Source organism: Homo sapiens, chromosome 4 (genome assembly GCF_000001405.40).
Source record: "Homo sapiens chromosome 4, GRCh38.p14 Primary Assembly".
NCBI lineage: Eukaryota > Metazoa > Chordata > Mammalia > Primates > Hominidae > Homo > Homo sapiens.
In genome coordinates this window covers 4,187,789-4,206,604 of record NC_000004.12, presented here as the reverse complement: position 1 = coordinate 4,206,604, position 18,816 = coordinate 4,187,789, and the positions used below count along the sequence as shown (strand labels likewise).

The window sequence follows — 18,816 nt, the reverse complement described above, 5'->3', positions numbered from 1 at the left end:
TAATAGAGTGAAACAAAAGACCAGCCCAAATCAATTTCATTATTTATTTAAAGCTCTCAACATTTCCTTTCTGGCCACTGGCATGGAGTAACTGTACAGTGAATATTTCTTAGATGAAAACTAACATGTGATATAAACCAGTTATAGGATTAATGTCAAGCAGGCTACTACTTCCATACCCTGTCCCACAGCAGACATCCTCAATCAATCACCCCCATATCACAGAAGACATCCTTAATCAATTGCAGCACCATTTCTTCCTGAACCAAGAGGCCTCACTTTATTTTTCTGCACAGTACTCCTGGATCATTGTCCCCATTGAGGAGTGGCACTGCCACCTAAGATGGAGTAGGAGGTCACTGATGTCCCAGCATTTTCTCATACATTTTCTTTGAGTTTTATAGCTTCTCAAGTTTGCAAGTGTAAAGATGAGTGTCTCACCGATTTTTCTTTTCTTTCTTTATTTCCATCTAGGTATATTTTCTTTGGGGGCATGCAAAGGATATTATCCAGTCTTTCAAAACACTGGAAAGGTAAAAATTGTGGGTAATTGCTTTATATGTTGAATTTGGCATTCATTTAGAATTTTCAAAACTCATCACTGCCATCTTGCTTTGGTTATAAAAACAGACCAACTCTCCCCTCAGTCCTGAAAGCTAAGCTCTCACTTGTGGCTGAGAGAAGAGGGTCACTGCTTTTGGCTTCTCCATGGGACAGGTCCAGAAGTAGCATGGGGTGGGCTTGAATTTTGAAGCCGAATCTGCATCTTAGACACTTTTCTGTTATGACCCTCAGTTGCCTCATCTATAAAATGGAGATGAAGGGAAGAAAATGTAATTTCTTTTTTTAACCGTCATAAGTTCTCAGTTGAGGTGCTGTCCTGAAAACAAAGGTCAGATTAACAAGAGAAAAACTAGCAGGAGTTTATTGACACTTGCTGTGTGCCCATGATGTGGGAGGGACTTAAGTTCTAACATATTTCTCTTAAGGCAGTGGTTTAGGGGCCTTGCTTCGACAGTATTTTAACAAAGAGCCATAAATCCTATAAAGACAAAACAAAGCTAAGTTTGCTCCCAGATTTTCTTATCTCTGCTGGCCTCCTTTCTGAGCTGGTAAGAGCCCAGAGCTGTCCCCAGTAAGAACAAAACTCACATCTCTTTCTGTATGCAGGAAAGGAAGGGGAGGTAGCAAGATCTTTTGTTTTTGTGAATCGCCATCCTGCCTTCAGGCAGGCGCAGGGAGAGGCAATGTCCCCTGCATTTTTAACCTTCTGCCGCTTGATAATCTTCAGTATTGTAGAGAAGAATCTATTTGTTTCTTTCAGAGAAAATAACATAGCCTGCCTCAAGGACTGAAGGAAGGAATTGATGTAAAGCACCGTGTAACAGGCACTCAGCAAGTGTAGGATCTGTTACTAGGTCCACCCACCACCCTCCCAGGGGATGGTGAGGATGGAAGGAAAGAATCGACAGGGTAATGGAGTGAATCTCCTAACTGCAAGGTGTTGTTACCGTGTAAGAAAGCACCATGTAGGACTGGGCGCGGTGGCTCACGCCTGTAATCCCAGCACTTTGGGAGGCCCAGGTGGGCGGATCACGAAGTCAGGAGTTTGAGACCAGCCTGGCCAATGTGGTGAAACCCCGTCTCTACTAAAAATACAAAAAAAATTAGCTGTGTGTGGTGGTGGGCGCCTGTAGTCCCAGCTACTCCGGAGGCTCAGGCAGAAGAATCCTTGAACCTGGGAGGCAGAGGTTGCAGTGAGCCGAGATCACGCCACTGCACTCCAGCGTGGGCAACAGAGCGAGATTCCATCTCAAAAAGAAAAAAAAGAAGAAAGAAAGCACCATGCACACGCACACACACACACACACACACACACACACACACACACAGATGAAGGAAACATACACTGAGATTAGAAATGGCTCATGAGAGCCTTCCCTTTATTGTAGTCTGGGATTGTCAAATCCAGTGATGAGAAAGGCAGCCTGGCATGAGAAAATGACGTCTGCCCTTGGTTTGTGGACCATTTCCACATCAAGCCAACAGGAGGCTGCCAGCTTGCAGGGAGCTTGCGTGGCAGAACAGTTTAGAGTCATGCGTGGCAACAGTGCTACCTCCTTGAGTTCAGTGGGCCTGGGACTGGACAGTGCCATTTGGACCAGGAAAAATGAGAGAAGAAAGGGGAGCTGTGTGCATTATGAGTAAAAGAAAAGCCAGCCAGTATGAGGCAAACGGCATTGTCTGCGTTTGTCAAAGGCTCTATATAATGCTTCCCAGGCACCTCGGGGAAGGCTGGCCATGATCTACAGCAACTGGGCAAGCACAAGGGGCAAACAGATGGGCAAACACCTGACTCAGACACCCTGGGATTCTGTTTCCTTCTCCAATTGTGCTTGGACATTATGCCAAAGGAAGCCAGGATTCAAATGAGGCAAGGTTTTGCCTGCAGTTTCCCGAGAGAGACCCAGAGAGATCAGCTGAGGTTAAAACCGAGAGGAGAGGCAGGGTCAAGGTTGAGGATGCGGTTGCACCATTTTCCCCGTGGGCAGATCATGGACGAGGGTTCTCTGGTTGTCTGCTTTTAATAAATTTTCATCCCTCTAGCTCTGCTTCCAAGACCCAGCTTCTTTGATGTCCTATAGGTATTGAGTTGAGTACTGGCAAGTTCAAGACTACGGCTGAATGCCAAGATTCTGTGGTTTTGGAAGGTTCCATGGATCTGCCCCACCCAGCCAGGCAGGGGACCCACCCAAAGCCTGAGCTGCCAGGTGAAACCAGAATCATGCTTCCTGTGGGCCTCTGCTCTCCAATTTAGGAGTGATCAATTCCATAGAAAGTTTTAAAGAATACCTCTCTCAAATCACCAGTGTTTGCTGCACGTGCTACCTGTGAGGCACATTGCTAAGTACCCTGAAAGCTACCAATGTGAATACATCTTAAGCCTGCAGGTGTAGGAAGACTTTGGAGTATTTGAAGAAATCAGTGACCCTATGGGGACCGCATTCCCCATGGATCTCTCGCCTGCTACCCAGAGTCCAGTGTCGACCTTCCACTTAGTTCTCTTTTCTATCTTCTGCCTTAGGAGGCAGCATGGCAAAGAGCCAAGGGCAGGGCTCTGGAGTCAGACTGGAAGACCTCTGCTCCTTACCGACTCTGCAAACCCCCATGTGGCTGCTTACTCCATATATGACCATGGGCTCATTCTTGAGTCTATCTGGATCTCCCGCAGCTCAACAATGTCATTACCGAGCAGGCTTTTTCTAGATTTCCACTCTGCCATCCTCAGTGGGCTGCAGCTGTAGCCCAAGCTGGCTGTCTCATGGTCATAAGATGGCCACCACAACTCCAGCCTTCATGTCCACATTCAAGGCTAGATAAAAAGGAGAAAGGGACCATAGCAGACTTTTCTTATTCTTGTTTCTTTTGTCAGGAAAGCAAAAGCATTTCTGTAGTGCCCATTAGACTAAAGCTCATATCTCACTGGCCAGAATGGCCATGCCTAGCTGCCAAGTAGTCTCTGGCTTGTTTCAGTGTCCTTAGAAGTAGGTGGCATGGCAGAGGGTGTGGATGATGGTTGGGGTTGGCCAATCAGCAGTAAGGGTGGACCTGCTCTCCAGATTTCCAGTGGTACTCTTTCATCTTTCCCTCATTGTTCTCTCCTCTCCTCTTCCTTTCTGGGAAAAAGATTTGGGGTGTGGTGGGGTGGGTTGTCTGCTTTTAGTAAATTTTCATCCCTCTAGCTCTGCTTCCAAGACCCAGCTTCTTTGATGTCCTATAGGCATTGAGTTGAGTACTGGCAAGTTCAAGACTACGGCTGAATGCCAAGATTCTGTGGTTTTGGAAGGTTCTATGGATCTGCCCCACCCAGCCAGGCAGGGGGCCCACCCAGAGCCTGAACTGCCAGGTGAAACCAGAATCATGGCTGAGAAGGAGCCATGTATTTGTGTGCACACGTCTGTCTCACCCCATGGTGCCTGAGGCTCTCCCAGGGCTGCTTGAGAACTGAGTCCTTGTGTTTTTCAGGTTTGGAGTGATCCACTCGGTGTTCACCAACCTGCTTCTGTGGGCCAATGGCGTCCTCAATGAGTCAAAGCACCAACTCAATGAGCACAAGGAACGGCTCATCACTCTGGGTTTTGGGAACATAACAACAGGTGAGTGGTGAGAGAGGTGAGTGGCCCTTCTGCCATGTTGGAATGTCTTGGAAACCTGCAGAGTCCACAGAGTTCAGAGATGGAGTGCAGGTTCCAAAGAACTGCAGGGCCACCCAACTCAGCATCAGCCAGACAGCCCGCTGTTGTTGAAAATCTTCCAAAACCTGAATCTCTCATAAGTGATGTGTACTGAGCATAATTAAAGGTTTCTTCCATGACTCAGGGACTTGTAAGACCCACGGTGATTATTCTGATGGCCATTTCTCATGGTCCAGTTTGCGGCAAAAATAAATGTCTTTGTTTTCAACTACAGAAGATTGATGGTTGCCTCTGCTTGTGTTTTTAATTAAACCTCTATTACCAGTTCTTTCTAGTAAAAGTATGGCTTTTAAAAATTCATAGGAGTCTAATGGTAGGTTGTGGTTAATGGGCTGTAGTTCATTTAAAGTTTTAATTTAACTGTATTGGCTTATAATTCTAGCTCATGTCTGTTCCACCTTGTTCCTATTTGAAAGCCTGTTGGGTTAATCTTTATATTTTCATCTAAAATCCTTTAGCATTTACAATATGTCACTTCTATATGAGAACATTCAGGCTGAGGGGAATGTGGGGCAGGGAACTGGGTGTCTCAGGTTTGTTCCCATCATGTACAAGCTGTGTGACCTTTAGAAGACATTTAATCTCTCTGAGCCTCTCTTTTCTCATTTGTAAAGTGAGGGTATCCAAATCATGCACTTGCAAAGATCCCTTCCGGCTTTAACATGCAGCAAGTCTGTGGCAGTTTTGTAAACCCAGGCTGTCCTGGAGAGCCACTTTGAACCTGTTTCATCATCAGTGGGGTGGAGACAACGAAGTCACCACCCCCAACCAGCAGCCACTCTTGGTGTTTGGGCCTCATGTCCTCCTTGGTATCAATCTCTCTGGTAGGCTATATATGTGTGTGTGTATGTGTGTGTGTGTGTGTGTGTGTGTGTGTATATATATATATTTATTTATTTATTCTATTTTATTTATTTTTTTTGAGACAGAGTCTCACTCTGTTGCCTAAGCTGGAGTACAGTGGCGTGACCTCGGCTCACTGCAACCTCTGCCTCCCAGGTTCAAGTGATTCTCCTGCCTCAGCTTCTTGAGTAGCTGGGACTACAGGTGCGTGCCACCACACCTGGCTAATTTTTATATTTTTAGTAGAGACGGGGTTTCACTATGTTGGCCAAGCTGGTCTCGAACTCTTGGCCTTGTGATCCACCTGCCTTGGCCTCCCAAAGTGTTGGGATTACAGGCATGAGCCACTGCGCCTGGCCTCAGGTAGACAATATTAACCTCATTATATGGATGAAGCCATCAAGCCACGGAGAAGTTAGCCCAGGGTAACACAGTGAACACGTGATCGAGCCATGATTTGAATCCTAACAATCTGGCTTCAAGGCCCTCTGTGAAAGATGAGGTTGGATTAATTTTCTAAAAAAGGACTCTGTCAGCTCTAACATTCTGTTACTCTGAACTTTTCCTCCTGCTTTCTTCCCTGGTCTTCTGCATAACACCGTATTGAATTGTAAGTGCTAGGGAAGCCCTGCTTGAATTGAAGATTATTATCGGGGGCAGTGACTCATGCCTGTAATCTGAGCACTTTGTAATCCCGAGGCTGGAGCATTGCTTCAGCCTAGGAATTTGAGACCAGCCTGGGCAACAAAGGGAGACCCCAGCTCTGAAAAAAAAAAAAAAAAGGCAGGCATGCTGGCATGGGCTTGTGGTCCCAGCTATAGCTACATGGGAGACTGACGCAGGTGGATCACTTGAGCCCAAGAAGTCAAGGCTGCAGTGAGCTGTGTTTGTGCCACTGCACTCCAGCCTGGGCAACAGAGGGAGACCCTATATAAAAAAGAAAAAAAAAAAAGAAAAAGAAAATTTCATAGTGTTCTGTGACAGTAAAATTAATGCTACGATATAGTTTTTCTCAGATTTTTTTTTTTTTTTAGACGGAGTCTCGCTCGTCGCCCAGGCTGGAGTGCAGTGGCATGGTCTCGGATCACTGCAAGCTCTGCCTCCCGGGAGTCACACTATTCTCCTGCATCAGCCTCCCGAGTAGCTGGGACTACAGGCACCTGCCACCACGCCCGGCTAATTTTTTGTATTTTTAGTAGAGCCAGGATGGTCTCAGTCTCCTGACCTTGTGATCCGCCCGCCTCGGCCTTCCAAAGTGCTGGGATTACAGGCGTGAGCCACCACGCCCAGCTGCTTTTCTCAGATTTTATAAGTAATATATACATATCATAAACTAAAACAATGACAAAGTGTGAAGCAAAAAAATCCACAACACTTACCCAGAAATGCAGTAAATGCTGTGAACGTTTGGTTATTTTTTTGTAGTGTGCCATTTACTTATAGTTGATTTTATACTATATATTTGATCTTTTTTTATTGCAACCTTCGACAAGAGACAGATTTTACATTGTAATCCAAACACGCATGTACCTATGTGTGTATGCTTGATGAAATAATACTTAGTTTTACTATATCAGAGACGCTTCCAAATTTTATTGTAGTTGACTCCACTCCATTCTGTCCTATTCTAGTCCACTGAAAATTATTTCTGCTACAAAAAAGTTGGTCGCTACCTGATTTTACAGCCTGGTACTGGGTCGTGACTTGCATTAAAAAATAGATACACAGTTTGTTCTTACTTTTTTCCATTTTCCTTGAAACGAGATTACTTTCTTAATATTAAAACACATCCTGGCCGGGTGCGGTGGCTCATGCTTTTAATCCCAGAACTTTGGGAGGCGGAGGCAGGCGGATCTCATGAGCTCAGGAGTTCAAGACCAGCCTAGCCAACGTGGCGGAACCCTGTCTCTACAAAAAATGTAAAAATTAGCCGGGCGTGGTGGCACGGGCCTGTGGTCCCAGCTACTCAGCAGGCTGAAGTAGGAGGATGCTTGAGCACAGAAGTCTGAGGTTGCAGTGAGCCAAGATTTTGCCACAGCACTCCAACCTGGGCAACAGAAGGAGGCTCTGTCTCAAAACAAACAAAACACAAAACAAAAAAACCCCCAAAATACCCCAAACCATAAAGCACATCTTAATTATAATGTGCAGTGGCTGTTTAGTATCTCATTGTTGTGATACACTAAAATTTACTTAACAATTTCTAAATTGTTGGACATTGAGCTGTTCCTCTCTCTCTCTCTCTCTCTCTCTCTCTCTCTCTCTCTCTCTCACACACACACACAATTTTACCTGAGTTTTTTTTAAATTATATTTTGAGACTGAGTCTCGCTCTGTCGCCTAGGCTGGAGTGCAGTGGCACGATCTCAGCTCACTGCAACCTCTGCCTCCTAGGTTCAAGTGATTCTCCTGCCTCAGCCTCCCAAGCAGCTGGTATTACAGGCTTGCCACCACACCTGGCTAATTTTTGTAGTTTTAATAGAGACGAGGTTTCGCCATGTTGGCCAGGCTGGTCTCGAACTCCTGACCTCAAGTGATCCACCTGCTTTGGCCTCCCAAAGTGCTGGGATTACAGGGCTGAGTCACCGCTCCTGGCCTTACCTGACTCTTTGATTACATTTTTTTATTTGTCCCTTTGAGTAGAAGGGTAGAATGGAAAGAACAGAATTATGGGTCAGAGACTGCATCGCCTTTAGGGCTTTGGTGACCTGTTTCATCATTTACTTACAGCATCTGCCCTCCTGTGATGAGAAGGCCCTCCATACCGCAGCCAGCTTCTCTTCCAGAAGGTGGTACCCGTTTACTTTCCCCGCACCGATATCGGACGGCGCCTGTCTCCTGCATGCCTGCTTGCACTGGAGTCTTAAGAGGCACATCTTTTGCTAATTAAAAGGGGCATTTTCTCCAGAAAGTATTTTTTCAAAATAATGTTGAAAAATCACACATGTAAATCATCTTCACAGAGAAAACTTAGAAAATACAGGGAAGCAAAATCTAGAAGAGATCAAAAATCATCTGTCATTTTTTCACCCAGAGATAACCATTGTTGACATTTTAGTTTGTGTCCTTCCAGATTTTTTCCGTCTGTCTGTGTGTGTGTGTATCCATCTATCTATCTATCATCTACATATCTATTTTTTACAACAATAGAGTCATCTTCTCTATCCTCTTTGGCAACTCACCAAATGAATGTGATTTAGGTAATGAATATGCTTTGGGGATACTCAGGGCTATCAACTTAGCCATGATATTAAACGTGATAATAAGCTATGACATGATAAAGCTCATAATCCAGTGGGAAGACCCAAGCCTGAATCCACGGTGGAAACAGTTTTCTGTGCTTTTCTGTTCCCCCTTGCACCTGCTAATCGCCCTCCTGTGTGATCTACCTGTCTCCCCTAGTTTTAGATGACCACACACCGCAGTGTAACTGCACGCCCCCAACTCTGTGCACTGCCATCTCCCACGGGATCTACTACCTCTACCCCTTCAACATAGAGTATCAGATCCTGGCCTCCACAATGCTCTACGTCCTGTGGAAGAACATCGGGCGCAAAGTTGACAGCCATCAGCACCAGAAGATGCAGTTCAAGTCTGATGGGGTCATGGTGGGCGCAGTCCTGGGCCTGACCGTGCTGGCCGCCACCATTGCTGTGGTGGTGGTATACCTGATTCATATTGGGCGCTCCAAGACCAAGAGCGAGTCGGCACTCATCATGTTCTACCTGTATGCCATCACCCTGCTGATGCTTATGGGGGCTGCGGGGCTGGCTGGAATCCGGATTTACAGGATAGACGAGAAGTCACTGGATGAGTCCAAAAATCCGGCCCGCAAACTGGACTCGGACCTCTTGGTGGGCACTGCCTCGGGCTCCTGGCTTATCTCCTGGGGCTCAATCTTGGCCATCCTCTGTGCTGAGGGCCACCCCCGCTACACCTGGTACAACCTGCCCTACTCCATCCTGGCGATCGTGGAGAAGTACATCCAGAACCTCTTCATCTTTGAATCCATTCACCGAGAGCCTGAAAAACTCTCTGAGGACATCCAAACCCTTCGGGTGGTCACAGTCTGCAATGGCAACACCATGCCCCTTGCTTCTTCCTGCCCCAAGAGTGGAGGTGTGGCCAGAGATGTGGCTCCCCAGGGCAAGGACATGCCACCAGCAGCCAATGGAAATGTGTGCATGAGAGAAAGCCATGACAAGGAGGAGGAGAAGCAGGAGGAGAGCAGCTGGGGAGGGAGCCCAAGCCCAGTCCGCCTTCCCCGTTTCTTACAGGGCAACGCCAAGAGAAAAGTCCTGAGGAATATTGCAGCCTTCTTGTTCCTCTGCAATATTTCGGTAATCTGCACCAAGTTATTCTTATTCTTTTAATTTTACTTTAAACTTTCATTTTCGGTTCAAGGGGTACACATGCAGATTTGTTAAATGGGTAAATTGCGTGTTGCTGAGGTTTGGTGCACAAATGATCCCATCACCCAGGTAATGAGCATAGTGCCCGATAGGTAGTTTTTCACCCTGCACCCCGCTTCCGGCCTCTCCCCCTAGTAGTCCCTGGTAGTGTCTGTTCATATATTTGTGTTCATGAGTACCCAATGTTAAGCTCCCACTTATAAGAGAGGACATGTGGTATTTGGTTTTCTGTTCGTGTGTTAATTCACTTAGGATAAGGCCTCCAGTTCTATCCAGGTTGCTGCAAATAGTGTGATTTCATTCTTTTTTAAGGCTGCATAATATTCCACGGTGTAGAGCTACACATTTTCTATTTATTTATTTTTTGAGACAGGGTCGCGCCCTGTTGCCCAGGCTGGAGTGCAGTGGCATGATCACAGCTCACTGCAGCTTCGACCTCCTGGGCTCAAGCAATCCTCCCATCTCAGCCTCCTGAGTACCTGGGACCACAGGCATGTGCCACCACACCTGGCTAATTTAAAAAACTCTCTTTTTTTGAGACAGAGTTTCACTCTTGTTGCCTAGGCTACAGTGCAATGGTGCGATCTTGGCTCACTGCAACCTCTGCCTCCCGAGTTGAAGTGATTCTCCTGCCTCAGCCTCCAGAGTAGCTGGGATTACAGGCACCTGCCACCACACTTGGCTAATTTTTGAAAATATTTTTAGTAGAGATGGGGGTTTCACCATGTTGGCCAGGCTGGTTTCGAACTCCTGACCTCAAGTGATCCACCTACCTTGGCCTCCCAAAATGCTAGGATTACAGGTGTGAGCTCCCACGCCTGGCCAAAACTTTTTTTTTGTAGAGATAGGTTCTCACTGTGCTGCCCAGGCTTGTCTTGAACTCCTGGGCTCAAACAATCCTCCTGCCTCAGCCTCCCAAAGTGCTGGGATTACAGATGTGAACCACTGTACCGTCCATAATACATTTTCTTTATCCAGTCCATTATTGATGGACATCTAGGTTTCTCTTGCCTTTTTAAAATAAGGAATGGAGGCAGCTTGTAATAAAAATACTGTAAGTACAAAATTACAATATAAGGCTGGAAAATAGACCTGTATTCTACAAATCTACCTACTGAAGACTTGCTGTGTGCTAGGGGCTGGGCAGGGTACTAAAGATTAAAGTGGAAAGACTCAGTCTCTTTCCTCTAAAAGGTCTCAGTATAATGGGGGAGGGAGACAATGAGAAAATCTAATACAGTGAGCAGGACAAGTGCTGAGATGGGTTTGTGCAAGGTGTACTAGGAGCAGGGATCCAGAAGGACTTCAGTGAGTAGTGGGTGCTTGACGTGAGGCCCACTGTCAATCAGGAGTGCTTTTGGTTGCAAGTGATAGGCAATTTGATTCGCAGTGTCTTCAGTCTTAACAATGTTTAATTATCTCATGAGAATCCCAGAGGTTGGCTTCTTGGGGTTGGCCTGGCAGCTGAACCGTGTCACCAGGCATCCAGGCACTGTTCATCTTGTCACTTGGGTGGTGTGGTGCTTGTTGCCGCATGGTCATGAGATGGCTGCAGCTGCACCAGGCATCACATCTGGGTTCAAGACAGAAAGCAGTGGGGAAGGGCTGGTGCCAGGCAGTGTCTCTCACATGGGCACCCCTCACTGCAAGGGAGGCTGGGGAAGTGGATGGTTTGCTTTCCAGCCTCTCTGATGGAAGGTGGCAAGGGAGAGGAAGGTGTACAGTCACTCACCTATCTGTCCGCATCAGCAAGGAATGACTGGAAGTTCACCAGGTTATCAAGGCAGGGAGAAGCATTTCAGGCAGAGGTACACAATATGTGAAGACACAGAGGCAAAAGACACCATGGCATGTTTTGGGAGCACCAAGTAGTTTGGCATAAATTCCACATGTGTTAAGCAGAGTAGCAGAATGGGAAATAGGAGAGAGGGCCCAGCTAGGTGGACTCTGGCTTGAGCAGGGCTTCCTAGGCCTGGCTAGAGTCTAGTCTTTATGTTGAGGGCAAGGGAGGACTCTCTCAGATTTGTGTTTTGGAATGATCCTCCCAGTAGCTGTATGTAGCAAGGATGGAGACAGATAGGGCCAGAAGCAGAAAGACTGGGAGAGAAAGCCCTGCAACAGAGCAGGCAGGAAGGGGAGGAGCTTGAACCAGGGCAGTGATGGAGGGATGGAGAGAAGAAAAAGGAATAAGAAGCATTGTGTGCAGTTGGGATTTTTTTAAAGACACATAAAGGAAGGATGGTGGGGGTTGGTGAGGAGGGGGAAGCAGCCTTTGCCACCGCATGAGTCTCTGCAGTGATGGTGACTGGTGGCTGGAGGGGAGTGCCCCAGTCCACAGAGGTGCCTGCCCATCACTCTGGGTGAAGTCAGCTCTTTGCTACCAGCCTCCGTTATCAAGCCTGCTCTCTGTTGCCCTAGCAGCTCAGAGGCTTTTGGGCTTCCTCCCCTGAATTTCAGATGGTGCATACAGGGCCTGCAGCTTTTGATATCACCCTAAGAACGCAAAGTTGGGAAGGTCCCTTCTGAAATCAGAATGGCTGTGTGTCTGCCAAGCAAACCTGGTCCACTCTAACCTTGGATCACCCGGCTTCCTTCAGTTTGCTAGGCAGTGAGGAGGGGCGCTGAAGGCGGAAGGCCCAGAAGAGTTTGGCTGCAGGCAGACCCTCTTCTCCATCTAACAGACATTTGCCAGGAAACTGCTGTATGCCAGGGGCTATGTCAGGGGCACAGCAGTGAACCAAGAATTGAAAGAGTTAACAAGAGAGATAGATACTATTCGGCTGCATTTTTTTGAGGTGCATGTTCCAAAACACAAATTCTTATAGTCAGAGCTAGTTCTAGAATCTTCCTCAAGCATATGCTTTTTGTACATATCCTGTGATTAATATTAATATACATATATTTTGAGATGGAGTCTTGCTCTGTTGCCCAGGCTGTAGTGCAATGGCATGATCTTGGCTCATTGCAACCTCCGCCTCCCAGGTTCAAGTGATTCTCCTGCCTCAGCATCCCGAGGAGGTGGGACTACAGGCATGCAACCACCATGCCCAGCTAATTTTTCTATTTTTAGTAGAGACAGGGTTTCACTAGGTTGGTCAGGGTGGTCTCGAACTCCTAACCTCAGGTGAGCTGCCTGCCTAGGCCTCCCAAAGTGCTGGGATTACGGGTGTGAGCCACCGCTCCTGGCCTAATATATTTTTTAAAACTAAGTTCTGAAAAGTTGTTTTTCCCTGGTTGCCTTTTTGGTTGACCACTGGGTGAAATACTTGGCTTGAATTTTTGGACCCACTTGAAGAAAGATAGCACTGTCCGAAATACCAGAATCAAGTGGCAACTGATGGTCTGTCAGGACCCGAAAGCCAGACCCAGGGCCCAGTCCAAGGAGAAGGGTGGGCTTCATCTCTTCCTCCCTGTGCTTGGTCTATGATGCCCCCAGGCACTGGTTGGGTTCTGGGGGATTGAAGCAGAGGATGGAAATCATTGCAGGGTGGAGTCTTAGGATACCCGTGCTGGCTCATGGGGTGGCACTTTGAAACCTTGTGGTTGACCCCAGGTGGTGCCAAAGGCATCTGGCAGAGAGCAAGAGCTGTCTTCTCCAGCATCGGGAGCCAGTCCAGAGGCCCCAGCTGCAGGTGCTGATGTGCATGTCCAGGTGGGGTGGGCTCCACTTCAGAGACGGACATGGAAATGTTAGTTGAATTTCCAGGAGCTGTGGCACTGGAGACAACAGACGGTGGGTGTGGTGATGGGGAAGGGCAGGGTGCTGTGGGAGATGGGTCAGGGAAGTCCTCTTCTAAGGAATGGTGTAGATGGGGCTGGGATGAGAGACTATTAGGGCAGAGCTGCAGGTGTGGGGAAGGGATGGATGCAAGGCAAGGCAGGGCTCACTGGATATGACCTGGGAGCACAGAGCAGAGGGCAGAGGGGAGACCACACAGGGCCTGCGAGCCAAGACTCTATCCTAAACGCAAGAGAAAACCATGGAAGGGTCTACACTGAGAGTGACGGGATCTGACACATGCTTATTTTATTATATTTTTAATTGTGGCAAAAAACACATCACATAAACTTTCCCATTGCACCCACTTTCAAGTGTGTGGTGAAGTAAAGTACGTTCACATTGTGCAAACATCACACCATCCATTTCCAGGTTATTCTCGTCTGGCAAAACTGAAACCCTGCCCTCATTAAATATGAACTCCCCATTCTCCCCAGCCCCTGACAACCACCGTTCTTTCAGTCTCTAGGAATTTGACTCCTAGACTCCTCATATAAGTGAATTTGTGGAGTATTAGTCCTTTTGTGACTGGGTTATTTCACTCATCATAACACCCTCCAGGGTCTCCAGGTTGCAACTCGCGAAGGGTGACAGGTGCCAAGTGTGACCCCTGCCTTCACACTTGAGTTCCTGGGGAGATGGTGATACTATGTTGGAGATGGAGGACCCTGGAGGAGGGGCAACCTTGGGAGCAGTGGGTGGAGGTCAGTGTGGAAGGAAGGACCAGAGTTAAGTAATGGACGTGTTCTGTTTCAGGTGCCTCTGTGGCATCCAAATGGATGAACCCAGTAGGCAGATATTTTGGTTTTCTATTGCCATGCAATGAACTACCCCAAATGTATGACAAAAGCAACATGCATGACTGTTTTTGTCTCATGGGATTTATTGTGACTCATGGCTTTGTGGGTTAGAAATTCTGGCAGGGCTTGGATAGGCAGTTCTGTTCCTCACAGCATCAGGTGAAGTTGGTGAAGCCTTGGGCAGAAGTTCCGTGGTCTGGTGCCTTGGGTGGGGGTGGCTGGGAGGCTGGGCTCAGCCGGGACTCTTGACTGAGGCACCCACAGGTGGGTCTCCAGCATGACGTCTCAGGGTGGTCGGACTCCGTACTTGGTGGTTCAGGGCCCCAGAGCCAACCCTCCAAAAGATTGAACTGGAAGCTGCCTGTCTCCTAAGGCCTGGGCTTGGAAACTGCATGGTGTCATTTCTGCCATATTTTATTAGTCATGTAGTCACAGAGTCCATCTAGATTCAAGGAAAGAGTTCATAGGCCACTTCTCAATAGGATAAGTAACAAGAATTTATAGCCAACTGAACAGCAGACATAAAGATGTGGATTTCAGAAAAGAGGTCCCATTTTCCTGCCTTCCTTTCTTCTCATTTTTCCTCCCTGTCTCCCTCTCCCTTCCTCTCTCCCTTCTTTTAGAAGGTGTTCCTTGAGTACCTACAGAGGTTCAGGGACTGCTATGCATGTTGAGGGTACAGCAATGACCAAGATCTCTGGTCTTCCTCTTATGGGGCTTACAAACCAGGCAACAGCAGGCAAAACCATCAGCTGAGCAAGAAAGACACCTTATAGTGTACCTGTGTTAAGCAGAGAAGTGGAAAAGGAGGATGTGGGAAATAGCTCTTGGGCAGCCATTGTAGATCAGAGGGACCAGCTTAGTGAGAAGGCCTCGCTGAAGGGTGAGGTGAGACAAGGAGGGGCTGGCCACGCATGTTCAGGGCAGAGGGAACAATGGCTGGTATAAAACCCCCGGTGGGAGTGAGCGGTTCTGGTTTGAGAAACAGGAAGAAGGGCTGCGTGCCATGTGGGTGGGGTGAGTGGGGAGAAGCGTGGGTGGTTAGAAATCAGCTAACAGAGCGCTTTATCACCCCATGCGGGAGTGTAGATTTTACTTTAAATATTTTGGGAAGACTTTGGGGGTTTGATCAAGGTAGGGACAGGATCTGATTTCCATGAAATGTAAATCTGGTGGCCGAGTAGAGCCCTAGTGCGAGCTGGGAGACCAGGCAGGGGGCCACCGCCATGGTCCAGGTGAGAAAGTCTGGATGGACAGGTGGAGAGAGAGAGCCACAGGTGGGCTGAAGATACTGCTTTGGAGGCACAGAGTGGAGATGCGCTGATGGACTGGATGGGAGGGGGCATGGTTATGAGAGTAGGAGGGAGATAAGGATGACACCTGGAGCCTCGATGGACCACCTGGGAGGACGACGTAGCTGAGCAGATAGAGAAATGGGGAAGGTGGGTTGAGTTTGAGGTGTGTTTTAGACACTCAAGTTGCCACCGGAAACTATGAGCCTGGGGTTCTTGGATGTGGTCCAGGCTGGAGATTGAGACTGGGAAGTCATAGGCCTATAGCTGGCATTTACAACCAGGGACTGGGAGAGAGCCCCAGGGCTCATGTGTAGAGAGAATAGAAAGGGACCCAGGAAAGATCCCTGGACGCTGGCCAACATTAAGAGGCACAGCAAAGGATGAAATGGCAAAGGAGACTGGGAGGGACCCGCCAAACAGGTAGGAGAGCCCCTAAGGGTCACAGCAGCCAGTAAGCAAAGTAAAAGAGAGGGGTCTTGGTTCCAGGGTCCCCGTGGTGGATACCAAATGCACAGATGCTCAAGTCCTCTATATAAAATGGGGTAATATTTGCATGTAACCTACCCATCCTCCCATACACTTTAAGACATCTCTAGATTACTTAGAATACCTAATACAATTTAAATGCTATGTAAATAGTTGTTATACTGTATTGTTTAGAGAATAATGACAAGAAGAAAGTTTGTACATATTCACTACAGACACAACCAACCATTTTATTTTTTGAATTTATTTATTTTTATTTTTTGAGACAGAGCCTCACTGTTTGCCCAGGCTGGAGTGCAGTGGCATGATCTTGGCTTACTGCAAGCTTCGCCTCCCGGGTTCAAGGGATTCTCCTGCCTCAGCCCCCTGAGTAGCTGGGATTACAGGCACATGCCGCCATACCTGGCTAATTTTTTGTATTTTTAGTAGAGATGGGGTTTCACCATGTTGGCCAGGCTGGTCTTGAACTCCTGACCTCAGGTGATCCACCTGCCTTGGCCTCCCAAAGTTCTGGGATTATAGGTGTGAGCCACTGTGCCCAGCCTACTTTTTGAATACTTTTGATCTGTGCTTGGTTCAATCCACAGCCGCAGGTCCCTGGATACAGAGGTCGGCTGTATATACCAGGGAGTGTTCTGTATGGGATACTAATGAAGGCTATGTGTCTCAGTTACTTATTGCTATGGAAGAGACCACCCCAATACTCAGCAACTTAAAACAAAGTACATTTATGATTTCATAGTTTCTCTGACTTATGAATCCAACTACAGTTTTAGCTGAGAGTCTCTGCACAGGGCCATTCCCAGGCTGAAACTGTTGGCTGGGGCTGCATTCATTTCAAGGCTTGACTTTGCGAGAGGTGGCAGAGGATTTGTTTCCAAATCTACTCATGTGACTGTTGGCAGGATTCAGCTGTGGCTTGTTGGACTGAGGGTCTGAGTTCCTTGCTGGCTGTTGACGGGAGTACTCCCTGGGCCCCTTGCCGCATAGGGTGCTTCACAGCATGGCAGCTCTGCCACCTGTCTTACAGGAGAAGATGAGCAAGAGGGATAGCAGGTCCTTTTGCAACCTAATTTCAGAAGTGACTTCCTGTGTCTTTTGCCAAATTTTGTGAGTTGGAAGTGAGTCGTTAGGTGCATCCCACACTCAAGGGGTGGGGACTCCACAAGGGGGTGACTGCAGGAGCTGGGGATCAGTGAGGGTCATCCTAGAGGCTGCCTGCCACAGCCAGGGAGTGGAGGAAGCTGAAGAAGGCTACAGCCGGAAGCGGGAGTGAGGAGCCTGACAACTCAAGAGGTGGCACAGGGGGAGAGAACTGGGACACAAAAGAGTCTGAGAAGCAGGGAACAGTGTGTAGGTTCCGTGAACAACACAAACAAAAGTCATTGCTTTCAGTTTTGCAAACTTAATTCTCATCTAAGCCCTCTCAGACACGTGTTAGAATTCCCATCTTTCAAATGAGGAAACCGAGGCTGGGCGAGGGCTGTAGGGATGGAAAGAGTTGGATGGGTTCAGAAAGTGCTCATTCAGGATGGATTGCAGGGAAGGGTGGTTGAGGAAGTGAGCAGGATCATGGCAGACATGGATTTGGTGGTTTCTGTGGAGATGGGAAATGCCATGAGGTCTCCTTATTGTTCTGTCAGGGGTGACTCAGTCCCTGTGCATTAGGTTCAGCTCCCATGAGGCCTGGGACTTGAGTGGGGCCTCCGTGGTGGCTTGGAAGCTGCTCCCCACCACATGCCATTTTCTCTTCTCTTGCAGCTTTGGATACCTCCCGCCTTTGGCTGTCGACCTGAGTATGACAATGGATTGGAGGAGATTGTCTTTGGCTTTGAACCCTGGATAATTGTGGTCAACCTGGCCATGCCTTTTTCTATTTTCTATCGAATGCACGCAGCTGCCTCCCTCTTTGAGGTCTATTGTAAGATATAGTCTGGGTCCACAAGAGACCTAGGAGTGAGCTAACAAGAGTTCATTGGAGCCAACTAGGAGTGGCCAGGTTGGGCAAATATTGCCTGACAAATATGAGAAGGGCCACCTTTTGTCTGCAAAGATTGTGCTTCCTGTGGGCTGGAACTGCCCATCACCCCTGATGAATGTAAACAAGTTAGATCAAAATCCATGAGGTGGCTGGAATCTGTCCTTGGTTAGTTAAATGCTAATCAAGCCCAAATTATTTTATTTCCTTCTAAATGATTTAGAAGAATGTGATTCTGGCTTGGGAAAAAATCTATCCAGTTTGTTTTTCATAAAAAGCATTTTCTTTGTGTCATTTATCATGTGACTCCATACAACCTTTTCCTGACCACCTGCATAGTAATTTACACTTTAAAAATTTATCCTTCTCAAAGCCTATGAATTTAGACACAATCACAATGAGTTTATATTGTTTCTGAATAGGTTTAATTTCTTGAAGTTATTTTTATCATCTGGATAGAAATTTGTGTACAGACCAATATAAAAACATATTTCTTACCTGAAATGTTGACACATTTTTGTGATCATTTTCAAGTATTTTTAAAAGGAAATTTCACTATTCTCTCTTTCACTGTAAACACTTACATGTTTATTGTAAAAAATTTGGATATTTCAGAAAAGTAGAGAGAAAAAGTCACCTATGATGCCATTGTTCAATTAACAATTACTTTTAATATCTTGGTGTATTTCTTCCAACCATGTTGATGAGATTCTTTTTATTGTCATTATTATACCTTTGAATGATGATGTAACATATTTGATTTTGTATTCAGTTATTTTCCCACTTAACAATATGGCATAAACCTTGCCCCCATATTGTTATAAATTCTTTATAAATATCATTTTAATGCTGTATGATAGTCTATCAAGTGAATGTACCTTAATTAACATAGTTTCCTATGGTTGGTTTTACAGTGTTTATAACTTTTTGCTTTTATAAGTAACTCTGAAAAATCAACCATATTTGTG

At 46.9% G+C, this 18,816-nt stretch overlaps 1 protein-coding gene across 1 annotated transcript in view; it reads left to right on the top strand.

Annotated features, from left to right (window-relative positions):
* Positions 1 to 17,879, top strand: part of OTOP1 (otopetrin 1) — a 38,204-nt gene extending 20,325 nt beyond the window's left edge. The window contains exons 3-6 of the mRNA NM_177998.3: positions 475 to 533; positions 4,027 to 4,157; positions 8,502 to 9,439; positions 17,632 to 17,879. Of these exons, the coding sequence (NP_819056.1) occupies positions 475 to 533; positions 4,027 to 4,157; positions 8,502 to 9,439; positions 17,632 to 17,802 (1,299 nt within the window). The 3' untranslated portion in view covers positions 17,803 to 17,879. The remainder of the gene's footprint in view (positions 1 to 474; positions 534 to 4,026; positions 4,158 to 8,501; positions 9,440 to 17,631) is intronic.
* The last annotated feature ends 937 nt before the right edge of the window (positions 17,880 to 18,816 follow it).